We start from the raw sequence: 14,134 nt of genomic DNA, 5'->3' as shown, positions 1-14,134 counted from the left end.
TATTACTACAGGAATAAATCCATTCAGATAAGTCAAGGAGAAAACATTTATAAAAAGTATGAAAAATTTAAACCAGACTGGTACTGAATATAACTATCACCTCTCTATACTGAGAGCTCTAAAAATAAATGAGATAACACAAACTTGAAAGCATACCAGATGAAAAATTAGAAAGCAAAATGGTCTCCCCTCTCTCAACAAATGAGCTCACCAGGGATGGGAAAAGAAAGTTTTTTTAGAGCATGAGAAAGGAAACTGCCTTAGGAAACAATTCCTGCTCCTTCCCCACTTCCTGGGAAGACAAAACTCAGGAGTAATATCATGACACATCTTCCAGCTAGGACACAACGGAGATGCCCCAACCAAACTGCACACCAAATTTGCAGCACAAATGAGATGATAAAGTTTGCAGCACAAGGGGAGGCCTTTTCACAGTGAGATGATAAAGTTTCACATTGAGATGATAGGATGCCACACATATCGTCTACCGCTTAGTCTATCTTCCTGGATGAAGAATATATCACTGGGATCCAAGATGCTTCCATTCTTGACCATTTACTAGTTTGCAAAGCCAATCACACCTACATAAATGAGATTTGACCTTACAGGTCAAATACATGGAGGAAGTAAGATGTAAAAATAGGCACCACCAGAGGCTGGAATCCAACTATGGGTGGGAGGAATAACGGGAGGTTCAGGAGCTAACAGGTCGGGAGCTCTCATGTGCCAGGCACCATGCCTCAAGCTTTACATATGGCTTTTCATTTAATCCTACAACTCTAAGAAGCAGGCACTATTATGAACTCTATTTTACAAATGAGGAAACTGAGGCATAAAGAGGGTTAAGGAAACTACTAACAGTCACACAGGGTCTGCTGGCCCAGACACGTTCCTTCGCAGGAATCCCACCAACTGACAGAATGGGTCAGGAGCAGGGAAATTGGGAAAAAACCCAAAATGAAACAAAAACTTTCTCTCTCTCCCCCTTGGTCCCACTGGTAGGGAGAGTTCTATAAATCAGCTTTTAGACTAAGTATTTGGCCTATAGTCAGGATAGTAACATGCTAGGGAGTGATAAAATTTAGTCATCACTCAAAGAATTTCCATTAAAAACCTGTCTTCCTGCTTTTGGCTCAAAGAGCATCAGAATGCACTTTTATGCACTGTTGGTAAGAATGTGAATTCTGATGCACCTTTTTAGAAGGGCAATTTGAAAATGTCCATCATTATCTCAAGTACACATCCTAGAGATACACTATATATAAAAGGACTTCTGCAAGCTGCAATATGCATTGTAGCATTGCTTATAGCAGCCAACACAGTGAAAGCAAGCTAAACACCTACCAGTGAGGGGCCTGGCTAAACAGGCTATGAGCTAGAAGCATATGCTGGAATCCTAGAGAGGGAGAGCTTGGTAAAAGCTGACATGGAATCCTCTCTCCAAGGCACATTATGGAGTAAAAATGTTGGGTACAGAACACTATGTATACTATGATCCCATCTCTACAACAATATGTTTTTAGTATACAAATGTACCTATATATGCATTAAATTTTTCTAGATGGATACCTAAAAACTGTTAATAGTTTCTTCTGTGCAGGGAAGTTGGGGGAAGGGAGGAGAAAGAAAATGATTACTTTTCATTTGCAATCCTTTTGAAGTTCTTGAATTTTTTGACCATGCTTATATACTGGCCTGATATATCTGGAAAAATATTGAAGAGCTTTAATTTTTCAATTCCCTTCTAAAAAATAAATCTATATTCTTTTTTGTTAATTATATATCTTGCTAGTTGTGTACCTTGCTTCCTTCGTACACCCATCCCAGACCCTGTACACCAAAAGCAACTTGGTTGGCCGAGACGTCTAGACATGTGACAGGCGGGCCGTGGGCGTAAAGGAGGGTTCTGGCGGAGTCTTCGGCTTTGAGCAGGTACATCAGATCTCCAGCAGCGGCTACTGCCACAGGGTACCTTCTGGTTTCTGGAACTATTTCAAGGTACTGAACCTGTTAAAAGGTAAGAGTTGTTTAGTCCCATAAATTCATCCTGACTTGATCAAAAATATGCAATTCCACCTACACATCAATGAGAAGACCAGCAACCCAACAGAAAAAGATGGGCAAATGAAACACTCACAGGAAATGAAACACAAACAGCTCTTACACAACAGAAAAGATGCTCAGTATAAGAGAAACATAAGACACACCTAAAAAGAGAAATATAAAATGAAAATTCATTGAAATATGATGCTTCACCTTTCATATCGGTAAAGATCAAGAAATCTGATAACACCCTGGGCTGGAAGTGAAGGAGGGAAAACCATGTTCCATGTTTCTGGATCCCACTTACTGCTGGTGGGGATATAATCTTGTCCAACTTGTATCAAGGGAACTTTGGCTACTCTTATCAAAATACCAAATGAACATGCACTCTGACCCAGGATATCCACTTCTAGAAGTTACTTACAAATAAACTCACATATATAAAAAATGATTATGTACAAGGTTATTCATGAACTGTAGTACAATTGTGTCTTAGCTAAAAACTAGAAAAACAGAAACACCCATTACTAAGGGACTAATTAAATAACTCAGTGTATCTATACGCTGGAATACCATGCAGTCCTAGAGGGAAGCATGAAAACGTTCTTTATAAAACGAAACAAATGGCATGGTTCTCCCAGATAAGCTTAGCGGGTAAAGCAAGGATGCAAGATGAGTTAGGTAACCCCACCTGCTGACATGTGTACAAGGTGGGGGTGGAGAAAGTACACAATGCGCTTGACTCGCACATCCATACATCTTCTAACAATGGCTGCCTTCAAGGAGGGAAGTGGATTATGAGATGGGGAGATTTCCCACCATCAGCTTTATTGTGTCTTTTAAATTCTGAACCATGGGGATGTAATAGCAATTCAAAAAATAAAAGGTTGGGGTTTTTTTGGTTTTGTTGTGTTTTTTGTTTGTTTGTTTGTTTACAATGAACTGAATAAATAACATTCAGCTCCAAATTCGCAAAAAAAATTTTAACATTTGTGTCAAAATGTGTGGCCAAAAGGTTAAAAATATCCAAGTGATCTGCTGTCTCCTGGTTTCAACGTCATCAGGGTCCATTTGGCCACCAGAGGGTAAGGAAGGCTCTACAAACACGCATGTTTCTACCCACCCCGCTCCCCAGTCCTGACTGCGTCACCGCCGGCACTTTCTCTAATGTGCACGAGTCTGAGACGCACTTTTCAAGAATAATTTGATTCTGTCCATCCACAGGCGGCCCATTTCTCCGCGGTGCCGTTCGCAACAGGCTTTCGCCTCTGCGAGTAAATCACGAGAGGACACATAGAAGGTGAGCCACACTAATTATGAAAATCCACAGTGTGAAAGGACAGCGCTGCCCTGACCATATGCCAAAGAGTTCAAAGCCGGCCTCCAGAACACGGTCCAGAAGAGCTGGAGGGAGCGTCAACATCCGGGGGACTCTGCTAATACTCGGGCCCAGCTCCGCAAGCTGCGGGTCCATCACAAAGGACAGCCGCACTAGGCTAATATCGCAGACCTGGGAACACTGCCACTGCCATTCAGGGGCGTATATGGACAAGACAAAACTGGCTTGGCTCTTCGGGCCAGGGGTGCCTTTTCCAAGGATACTCAGAGCATTTTGTGGGAACCTTTCACTCAAAGTGAAAAATAATTCCTAAAACGTGCATAAAACCCGCCTTGAACAATGGCTGCTCGGTTCCTCTCACTCCCCCAAATCATGTCTCATTTTCCTACAACTGATATCCTCCGTCTAGCCCTTTAACTTTATCTCCGTGTTGGCTTTCTGACAGACCAAGAGGCTCAGATTGACAGTGGTGGTGCCATTTGCTGGGGGCTGTAAACTAGTTCAAAAAGCTTCCAGTCTGTGCCAGGATGCCACCTTATTGCCAAGGCAGGATTTGCACTTTACAGAGAAACTGGCATCTTAAGTAAGTATCTGGGTCCATACAGTGATTGCTGGTCTACAGTATTCGTTTTTTTGTTGTTTTTTTGTCTTTTTTTTTTTTTGAGACGGAGTCTCGCTCTGTTGCCCAGGCTGGACTGCAGTGGCGATCTCGGCTCACTGCAAGCTCCGCCTCCTGGGTTCACGCCATTCTCCTGCCTCAGCCTCCTGAGTAGCTGGGACTACAGGCGCCCACCACCACGCCCGGCTAATTTTTTGTATTTTTAGTAGAGACGTGGTTTCACCGTGTTAGCCAGGATGGTCTCGATCTCCTGACCTTGTGACACAGTATTCTTTAATCACAGACTAAATAGTAAGTACTATGGAAGTTTTGAGAACAGAAATGTACTTTCACATTTTTCTAATAAAACCCAGATGAGCTGACAGCATCAGGCCATTTTAGGGGAGCACTATACTCAAAGTGCAGACGCTCCTGGAGGTGAAGCAGTGATGCCATGGCTTTCTAAGTTATTCTAGTCTAAGAAGATTCCCAACAGACAGAAAGAGGGAGGAACAGGATTGGTTCCAGGTCAGGCCCTCAATTCATCACTCAGTGTTGGCTTTTCTGCTCACTCTCCTACCAGTGCCAAAATCAAGTTTGTTTAAATTAAATCCTAACTCAGCATAGACAGATTTGAGCACTTCCTTCTTAACACCAAATCATCTCCCACTCTACAAATCTAGAGGTTCCTGTACCAATGAACTCAGAAATAAGCTCGACATAAAGAATTCTTAAGGCTGGCTGAGCTGCACACATGACATCCTGGAACATGGCTACCCAATTAACACCAACTTAAATCTATCTTCACGCAAGAGTTACTTTAAATTTCAGGTGAGACAGTCTTGGGATGAAGAAAGTGTAGGAATGGAAACCTTCCTTCCCAGATGGACTGGGATAACACCACTGAACTCATTCTCACTTATATATTAGGTCAAACTGATCTTTGATTCCCAAGGGTGAGATTCCACCGTGTTAGTCTGAAGAAGGCCAAGGAACCACAGTGATGAGCAGCTCTGGCCCTGAAGTCAGCCCTGAGGTTTGAATCGTAACTTCTTACCTCTGAGAACTGGGGCAAGTCAGTTCACTGCTCTAAGCAGCCTGAAGTGGCTTCTTGGTAAATGGGGAAAATGCTACTACCTATTTTGTAAGGCTGTAGTTAGACTTATGGAGGTAAGGCCCGCAGGAAGCTCTGAGTGAATGGGAGTTACCAACACCATTAGTACGTGCTTACATTAGACCCAGAGATTCTAAGAATAGAAAATAAGATGACCAGACTAAAAAGCTCACCAGTTTCGGAACTTCAAATTCCGCAGCTATCTGCCAGTACCCCTCCTCATTGGGGGATAACATCACGACATCAAAAGCAGAAGCTGTGGCCACGGTTGCATCGTCCTGGCTGAGGGCTAGTGCCTGTATTCTTGCATCGTGCTCAAAACGATGAACAGGGTACTTTCCGGTCCTTAAATCCCAAATATTAAGAAACCCTATGCAGCAAGAAACAATGCAGGTAACAATTTTAAATTTACTTAATATGTTCAATTATTTTAAAAACATGCAACACAAAGGAAAATTTTTTAACGGAGATACCTTGGAAATGAGACCCAAGTCTAAACACGAAATCACTTACGTTTCATATATACCTGATGCACATGGCCTGAAGGTAATTTTATACAATATTTTATTTTACTTTTTTATTTTTTAGAAACAGTGCCTCACTCTTCGCCCAGGCTGGAGTGCAGTGGTGCTATCATAGCTCACTGCATTTTTGAACTGATGGGCCTAAGTGATCTTCCTGCTTCAGCCTCCCAAATAGACAGGACTACAGGCGTGTGCCACCATACCCAGCTAATTTTTAATTTAGCTGAGACACAGTCTCACTATGTTGCCCAGGCTGCTTTTTTGAACTACTGGGGTCAAGCAATCTTCCTGCCTCTGCCTCCCAAAGTGTTGGAATTACACGTGTGAGCCAACGTACCTGGTCTATACAATATTTTAAATAATTCTGTGCATGAAGCAAAGTTTTGGCTGTGTTTTGGCTACAAACCCATCACATGAAGTTAGATGTGAAATTTCCTACATGTAGCATCATGTCAGTGCTTAAACAGTTTCAAAGCATTTTGGAATTTTGGATTAGGGATGCTCAGCCTGAATTTCACATCCTTCCTCAGCGCCATCCTCCTAAAGCCTCTGTTAGCAGCAGTGCTTTATTTTGCACAGCTCTAAAACCTGTGCTTCAATATCCCACACTTGCCAAAAATGCCGATTTTCCACTCTTCTCCCAGCACCTGGAATGCTGCTACCCAGATTAATTCCTCTTTCACACACTGGCCACACACCCTTTCTCCAGGGTGGTTTCCAGACCGGTAGCATCAGTACCACGTGGCGACTTATTAGAAATGCAGACTGTCAGGCACCAGTAACTCTGGGGATGTCCACTGGAGTTTAGGACCAGTGGTCTACAGGAGCTTATGCTTTTCCAGTCAGATAACCTTTTCTGTACTTAGCATTTCATTGATTCTTCTTTCCTCAAAAATAATTTCTTTTTATCATTCCCAAGCTATTTCCTTCCCTTCGAAGATTTACCCAAGAAAATGATTACTCTCTGCATTAGGCTGGTTAATGCCTTGCTCCAATTCCAATTGATTCAATTTTTCAAAATTCACCAAGAAATAAATGTGTGGAGATAACAGTTTGTGACTATTTGAGTTCAAATCCAGCTCCAGCACTTGTTAGCTGACGGACTTAGGGGAGCTGCTTAACAGCTCTGAGCCTGTTAGCCTTTCTGTAAAGTTGAAGACAACATTACCTACTACATAGGACTGTGAGGCAGATGAAAGGAGACCGGCCACACGAAGCACTGAAGATGGACCATTCCTTTCTGTCTTTTATTTTTATGCAGTCTATAGTTCCTGCTGTGTTATAAAACATATTTAATCTATCAATGCTAATTCCCCTTCTATTGATCATCCGTAAATCTAGCCCTATTTCCTATAACTTCCTATTATCTAGAACAGACCAAGCTTTTTGCTTTCCTTCTCTTGGCAGTGTATCTTCCTATCTTTCTTTTTTCTTGCCTTCTACTTTGTCTTTAAACTATAAATGCTTTGAGTTTAGGATCTTACTATAAAGGATCATTCAGCACTAAATAAATATAGAGAATTGGAAGAAAATAATACATTTGGGCTGCTTTGCCAGACTTCCAAACTGTCAGTAGGCTAAGGAAGCAATTATAAACAAAAGCAGAGCCTTCTTCAAGCTAAATGTTGCTTCGCATCTAAAACACAGTGCACTCTTAAGAATTATGATAAACTTGGGGGATAAGCGGATCACAAAAGGTTCCACAGCACATTCCCCTGGCAATTATTTTGGCAAATTCTTTCCATCCTGACTCAGAAGAGAAAAATATGCTGCAGAAAATGCCAGTGGCTCTACATATCAGATGGGAGATCGGCTCTCCCATGCCAAGATGTCTGCTCTTAACATGGGCTTCCTTCAAACACTCTGCATTGCATTTGTTTGCATTTGTTTTGAGACATCACAACAGTAAAGAGAAAAAAAACTCCCATTTGCATAGAGCTTCTGAGTCTTCAGAGACTCGTGTGTCTCCTCTCACTGGGCATTCACTTCCATCTTGGGAGGCGCACCATTTTACTCCTCTCACAGAAAAGAAACAGAAGCACCGAGCGGTTAAACAACTTGGTCCAAAGCCACTTGTTATGTCATGACTTGGTACGTCATGAAGTTGGGCTGGAATTTAGCTGGAAAAGTGCAGGATGAGCGGCTGCATTTGTAAGTGCATAAAATAACTATGAGCTCAATGAGTAACTGACGTACACCATCACACTCACCCTGGGTGCTGCCAAGCGTGGAAGCTATTTAACCACAGCTCACTCTAAGCACACATGGAGTTTATCTATAAACACATTTTTCATTATTAATCAAGTATTGGCTTTGCTGGCATCATTTTTCCAACAGAACTTTATGCAATAAAATATCCTTCACCACAAGGTTGAGTAGCACAGAGCTATCCTGAGAAGAGTCTTTTTGGGAAAAAAAAAAAAAAAAATCCAGGGCTCCATCAATTAAATGGTCAAATCTTTCTCTCCTGAAAGCCTGTTGTGTCTTCATCTTTTTCGATTTCCCCTACTTCAATTATAAAGTGTCGCACTTGATCAGATCCTCACTTGTCGGGGGGCTGATATCACGTGCACAGTTCTTCAACATCATTTTTAGGTGCAAAATCATTTAGGATTGTATGTCCTCTTGATGAGTTGATTCTTTATCACAGGCAAAGTCCCTCGGTATCCCTGGTTACTATAGTCTTTGCTTTGAAATCCACTTTGCATGGCCACGCCAGTTTTCGATTAGTGTTAGCATGCAGAACTTCTCCCATCTTTTCGCTTGTGTCTTTATATGTTTAAAGTGGGTTTTCCATAGACAGCATGTAGTTGGTCTTGCTTTTAATTGGGGTGTTTAAATCATTTATATTTACTGTGATTATTCATAAGGTTGGGTTTAATCTACCATTTTGCTAATTTTTTAAATTTATCCCATCTGTTCTTTGCTCCCTTTTCTCCTCTTTTGTTGCCTTTTTTATTTTTTGGATTGAGTATTTGGGATAACTAAATGTGGTTATTCCATTTTAATTCCTTTGTTGGCTTGTTAGCCAAAACTCTTTGTTATTTTAGAGGTTGCTTTTGGATTTTAACATAAGTCTTTATCACAGTCTACCTGCAAGTAATAGTGTATCATTTCACATGTTATATAAGAACTTTAGGCTGGGTGTGGTGGCTCATGCCTGTAATCCCAGCACTTTGGGAGGCTGCGGTGGGCGTATCACTTGAGGTCAGGAGTTTGAGACCAGTCTGGCCAACAAAGTGAAACCCCGTCTCTAGTAAAAATACAAAAATTAGCCAGTCATTGTGGTGGGCACCTGTAATCCCAGATACTCAGGAGGCTGACGCATGAGAATTGCTTGAACCTGGGAGGCGGAGGTTGCAGTGAGCCAAGATAGTGCCACTGCACTCCAGCCTGGGTGACGGAGTGAGACTCTGTCTCAATTAAAAAAAAAAAAAAGAACTTCACAGCAGCATACTTCCATTTCTTCCCTTCCAGCCTTTGTGCTATTACTGTCATACTTTTTATTTCTACATATGTTACAAACTTTTTATTTGTACATCTTGTAAACCTTAAATACATTGTTATTACTTTTGCATAAGCAGGCAATTATCTTTTAAAGATATTTAAATAATAAAAAAGCCATTTCTATTTATCCATGTAATTACCACTTCTAGTTCTTTCACTGTCACTTTCAACATCACAAAGTCCTGCAGCTTCTGCAAGGTTTGCAATTTCCCTTTGAACTGTATTGTTGGATATCTGCCCCAAAAGCATATGGGCAGAGTGGGCAGGAATAGATACAGAAGCTAACAGGGAGGGGTGTTTGAGTGAAAGCTAATTTTATAAATGGTCAATTTATCAGTTACTACAGTTATATCATGGCTACTTTTATAATCTCAAAACTGCAAGGACTTGAATAGTGAATAACTGAATTACAAGAATGCTCTATAATAGTGTGGCTGATTATCATCAGCTACATTTAGCCAAAAAGGAATCAATGCAATAATACATTCAACAGGTAGTTACAGAGCTCCCTGTTTTGTACCAAGGCACTATTCTAGGGACTGGGGATATCACAGTGAATAAGACAAAATAAAACAAAAAAAGTCCCTGACTGATCGAGCCAACATTTTAGTGACATATAAGAATTGAAAGGATACCTGTTTTCATAAAACACACACTGGAGAGAAACAAATATTTAATAACTAAAATATAAAACACAATGATCACAGAGAGATATACACAAAGCACAATGGAACAATGAATAAGCTTAACTTTTGGTCATGCTGTCACACTATTTTAAGACCCCAGAAAAGGAGCAGCAAACTTTTCTAGATGTTTTAACTTGAACCAAGTCTGCATTTATTGCATAACTACTAAGGAAGAAGTAGTTAATGCCTGTCAGGGTCAAGGAAATTCACTTCTCAAATAGGTATTTTTTTTTAAATCTGATATAAATTCATTTGAAAGGTCAAGTGTTATCATACTGCGGACCTAGCAATGAAATGGATTTGGCTCCTGACACTGTGAACTTGTGAAATGGCAAGACTGTGTCCTTTTCCCTCTCTATGCCCTATGGTAAGGAATTCACAGTGCTGGATGTGGCTGTACATCAATAAAGGTTTGCTTAATGCTTGTCATATGTTTCAGCAATGGAACATTTGGTTGTAAGAAACAGACACCCACTGAAACTGGCTTAAACATAAAAAGGAAACTGACTGGAAAGGAATGAGGCTACTTCATGGAGCCCAAGGGCAGGAAGTACAGCTGGAGGTGATAAGGGATCAGAACCAGGAACCAGGAAGACATGCAGAACCAAGGTAGTGTATGTAACTTGTGTGCACCACAGATCTTATCTCTGCTTCTCTCTGCAATTCTATTTCATTCTTCTTTTCGGAAACCAGCTTTCTCTCATCCCTGGGTACATGGAGAAAGGTGGCTGTCCCCATTCCAGGAGGTCTTCTACTCCAAGAATGCAACAAAGTTTGAGTCCCAACCAGCCCATCCCAGTCCATGAATCAGCTTCCCCCAAGAACTGGGGCCCCATCCCTCATCCAATTAGCTGAGGCCAAAAGACTAACTCAAATACTATGAACATGCCCACCTGGAGAGGGCCTGGGGAGGGACCTCAGGGCAAGGAGACAACCCCCTGCCCAAAGATCTCTACGACTTCTCTCCTGCACAGTAGGCCAAGGTAAAACAAGAGAAAAAGTCTCAGCAAACACAAAGGGAGGTTCTACTTGGTTTCTTGGCAGTGGCATAAGAAGCAAGTGTTTTTTTTTTTTTTTTTTTGCCATTCCCTGCACCAGGCATCATCCTGAAGGCCAGAGTTTATAGCCCCCATTTTGCCCCACACTAGAGAAACAGAAAGAGCAGGTGTTTTTCTTCCTTCCTGACCAAACCTCAATAGCTGGATAAAAGATGATTAATTCTGAGTAGTGCTGGGATTGCAACAATACTGTTTCACTCATAACAAACAGGAAAAGGATGCAGACAAAAGAAGAAACTGGGTCTCTTGAAACATCCAGAAGACAAGTGAGGACCACTGGCCCAATAAAGGAGAAGGGGCAGGGCCTGGCACTCCCACCTGCTCCCTGGGCTCAGGACCCTCCACCTTGACAAGCAGCAGCCAGGCTGAAGGAACTCTGAGCTCAGCCTAGACCAGTAACAGCCATTAACGATGACATGAGTAACGATGGCCAGTCTTTCGAGGAGACATAAAGCCTGCTCAGCAGCTGTGGATGGGCACCCATGCCAGTTTGCAGCAGGCCCCTCCCACCTCCCTAAGGAGGCCAGCCAGAGTGTGGTAATGAAACTGCACATAGTGGAAATGGGATCTAAATGAGTTTAAACTGATTTATGTTAGCTTTTGTAAAGATTACTCGATATCTGGAAAGTGCTACCACTGTGAAATAATGTCGACAATCCTTAAGACCTCTGTCTAATGGTACTTGCACAGAATATTTATATTCTTCGTCATGGGAACAAGGACCATAATGGATACCATTTTTGTTTTATTAGGGATGCATATTTAAATTAATCTGCTATTTGCCTAAACAATTAGCTGCTTCTGTTTGTGTGCACAAAGCCAAAATTGCAATTAAGCTTCCATCAAAAAGATAAGTCCCAACTAAAACTGTCCCGGTGGAGTCATAAGAGCTCAGGGCAGAACTTTCCAAAATTACTTTTTAGCATAATGGTAATTATGTTAATTGCCTGAAAGGTAAATAACTGCTGAACTGGTTTTGGAAAAAAAACACAATTGGTATACTCTTCCCTCCCCTTTGATCTTTTCCATGCACCACAAAATTTAAAACAGGTTAACAGTTTCGAAAGGTCATAGACTAGTCCCTTCTTCAACTACAGAGCTGGTCTTGTGGTCTTTAGTGGTTTCTTGATTAGAAATTATTTCAGCCGCGAGCTCCCATCCTCTTGAGCTTCCACAATAAACACCTGAAGCTTGGTGTCAACTTCATGATCGTTAAATAGACAGGATCAATTAACTGCGTTCAGAGATACTGAATGAAGTTGACTATTTATAATAAAGACAGCTGGCAATCTCAATTTCTACCATGTAAATAAACACTTGCCTATCAGAAATTAATCAGGAGTCAAAAGAAATTCTGCAACAAAGGAAAAGGCATTTTGACAAAAATTTTAAATATACCCATAGCACTGACTTAACACGTACCTCTTTGTTCATTAAGTCCACACATCACCACTCTGAAATGCAGGCCAGAGACATAAAACTAGCATAAAGTTGGACAGGACAAAAGTTTTTGCTCTTCATGGAAGAGGTGCCGGTGGGAGATTAGTATCAGTGTAGACAAGGGTCATAAAGAACAGCTAAACCACGGAGGGTCACGAAAAAGGAAAAAGGCTGAAGTTTCTTGTTACTGCAGCTACTGTGGCATGCCATCCTGCTTTCCCGCTGACCACAGCGCTACAGCTCTGTTGCCTAAGGCAGAAAATAAACAGAAAACATTCTGGAATCTGCATTTTAGATTGACAAGTAAAAGAATCTGAATAGGCTTATGGAGGAGGCGACTGGTTAGGGCATAAACAAAGCAGCGAGATCACCAAAATAGAAACTGAGTCAAGAGAAGAGGAAGTAAGATTGAATATATTTAGTAGCTCTCAAATTCAAAGCAGAAAGAACACCTGAAAAAGAAGAATGAAAAATGACGAGACAGCAGACTGAAAAGGAGGCAAATAGTATATTGTTAAGACTATGGCAATGTGACTAGATAGAAGAATTTCCAGTTAACATCTTAGGAAAAACAGATTGATGGAGAAGGCAAAGAATTTGGACCAGCTTCTACAAGGGAAAGTTCCAGAGGGCAGGTAACGTGAAAGAGACATCACTGTGCATGCAGCCTCAGACTGAGGCCAGTGTTCTCTATAACCGATATACACATGATATAGACTCTATCCCGAAGAGATCAGCAGACACTGGTAGTAGCAGATGCCTCTAAGGAGGGGAGTGGGGAATCAGTGGACTGGGTGGTAGTAGATTAAAAAAAAAAGATCACTACTGAAGCTGAGTGATGGGTACACGGGGGTGCATCATGCTATTCGTTCCATTTTTGTGTATTTTGAATTTTTCACAATAAAAGATTTTTAAGAATAACCATTTGAAAGGCTATCACTAACAAAAGTAAAAATACGTTAATTTGTGTTTTACAAACGTTTTCAACAGCCACACTGCAGACTAAGTGTCTTCTCAGATCTACGGTGAAAATTCTAGTGATGACATTTTGCAGCCTTTAGAAATCCCATTCCAAATCCTGAAAAAAAAATCTTAAAATTATACTATCAATTAATTCCCTTTCAAGGAAAGTAATAAATGGCTCAAATAAAAAGCAGGGGGAAAAGTCTACATAAAGATTTAAATGATGGCGAAACTGCAGTCGGTTCTGAGTTACCTAACACCAAATAAGAATGAGAAGACAGAAACCACAGACAGCCTAACATCTCACTTGGGCATTCAGATACCAATGCAAATCCCCCCAACAAATAGATGGTTTTGCCACAAGGCCCCGATGTCTGGGGTGGGGCTCTCGGGTCTCCCTCCCCTGTGCCCAGAGTGGATCACAAGAGCCCAATAGAGACGGAGACTCACATGGCCACCTGCCTTCCAGACCAGTGCTCTTCAGACTTTTTTGATTACCCCCTGAAATGATTTTGAAAAACAAGGCCTGCCTTTCCCGTTTTATATATGAAACCGATAAATTTTTTTTGTCCTAAGTTGTAAGTAGTGGCAAAAACGTAACATCTGGCATGTTTGTAAATGTTGACATTTTAAAATAAAATGGCTACACTATTCTTTAAAAAGTATTCTCTGGGAGGCTGAGGGAGGGCAGATCACTTGAGGCTAGGAGTTTGAGACCAGCCTGGCCAACAGGGTGAAACGCCATCTCTAATAAAAATACAAAAAAAAAAAAAAAATTAGCCGGTGTGGTGGTGCATGCCTGTAATCCCAGCTACTCAGGAGGCTGAGGCAGAAGAATCGCTTGAACCTGGGAGGTGGAGGT

General features: G+C 41.3%; 1 protein-coding gene and 1 long non-coding RNA gene across 9 annotated transcripts in view; one reads left to right on the top strand and one right to left on the bottom strand.

Moving 5' to 3' along the window:
* The window catches only part of FBXW8 (F-box and WD repeat domain containing 8), a 120,199-nt gene that overhangs the window by 40,479 nt on the left and 65,586 nt on the right, over positions 1 to 14,134 (bottom strand). For all 8 annotated transcript variants that reach the window (XR_001748654.1, XR_007063065.1, XM_024448937.2 and 5 more), the window contains 2 exons: positions 5,268 to 5,464; positions 1,801 to 2,007 (listed from right to left, as the gene is read on the bottom strand). Coding sequence is in view for 6 of the 8 variants with exons in the window: in XM_024448937.2 (XP_024304705.2) it covers positions 1,801 to 2,007; positions 5,268 to 5,464 (404 nt within the window). In the remaining 2 variants the exon portion in view is untranslated. The remainder of the gene's footprint in view (positions 1 to 1,800; positions 2,008 to 5,267; positions 5,465 to 14,134) is intronic.
* On the top strand, positions 3,333 to 13,230 carry LOC100506551 (uncharacterized). Its single transcript, NR_103809.1, has 4 exons — positions 3,333 to 5,016; positions 5,294 to 5,487; positions 10,251 to 10,420; positions 11,081 to 13,230. It is a non-coding gene; the product is annotated as an uncharacterized LOC100506551 (long non-coding RNA).

This window comes from Homo sapiens, chromosome 12 (genome assembly GCF_000001405.40).
Source record: "Homo sapiens chromosome 12, GRCh38.p14 Primary Assembly".
Taxonomy (NCBI): Eukaryota; Metazoa; Chordata; class Mammalia; order Primates; family Hominidae; genus Homo; species Homo sapiens.
Note: the sequence above shows the minus strand (reverse complement) of the source record. Positions and strands in the feature narration are given on the sequence as shown.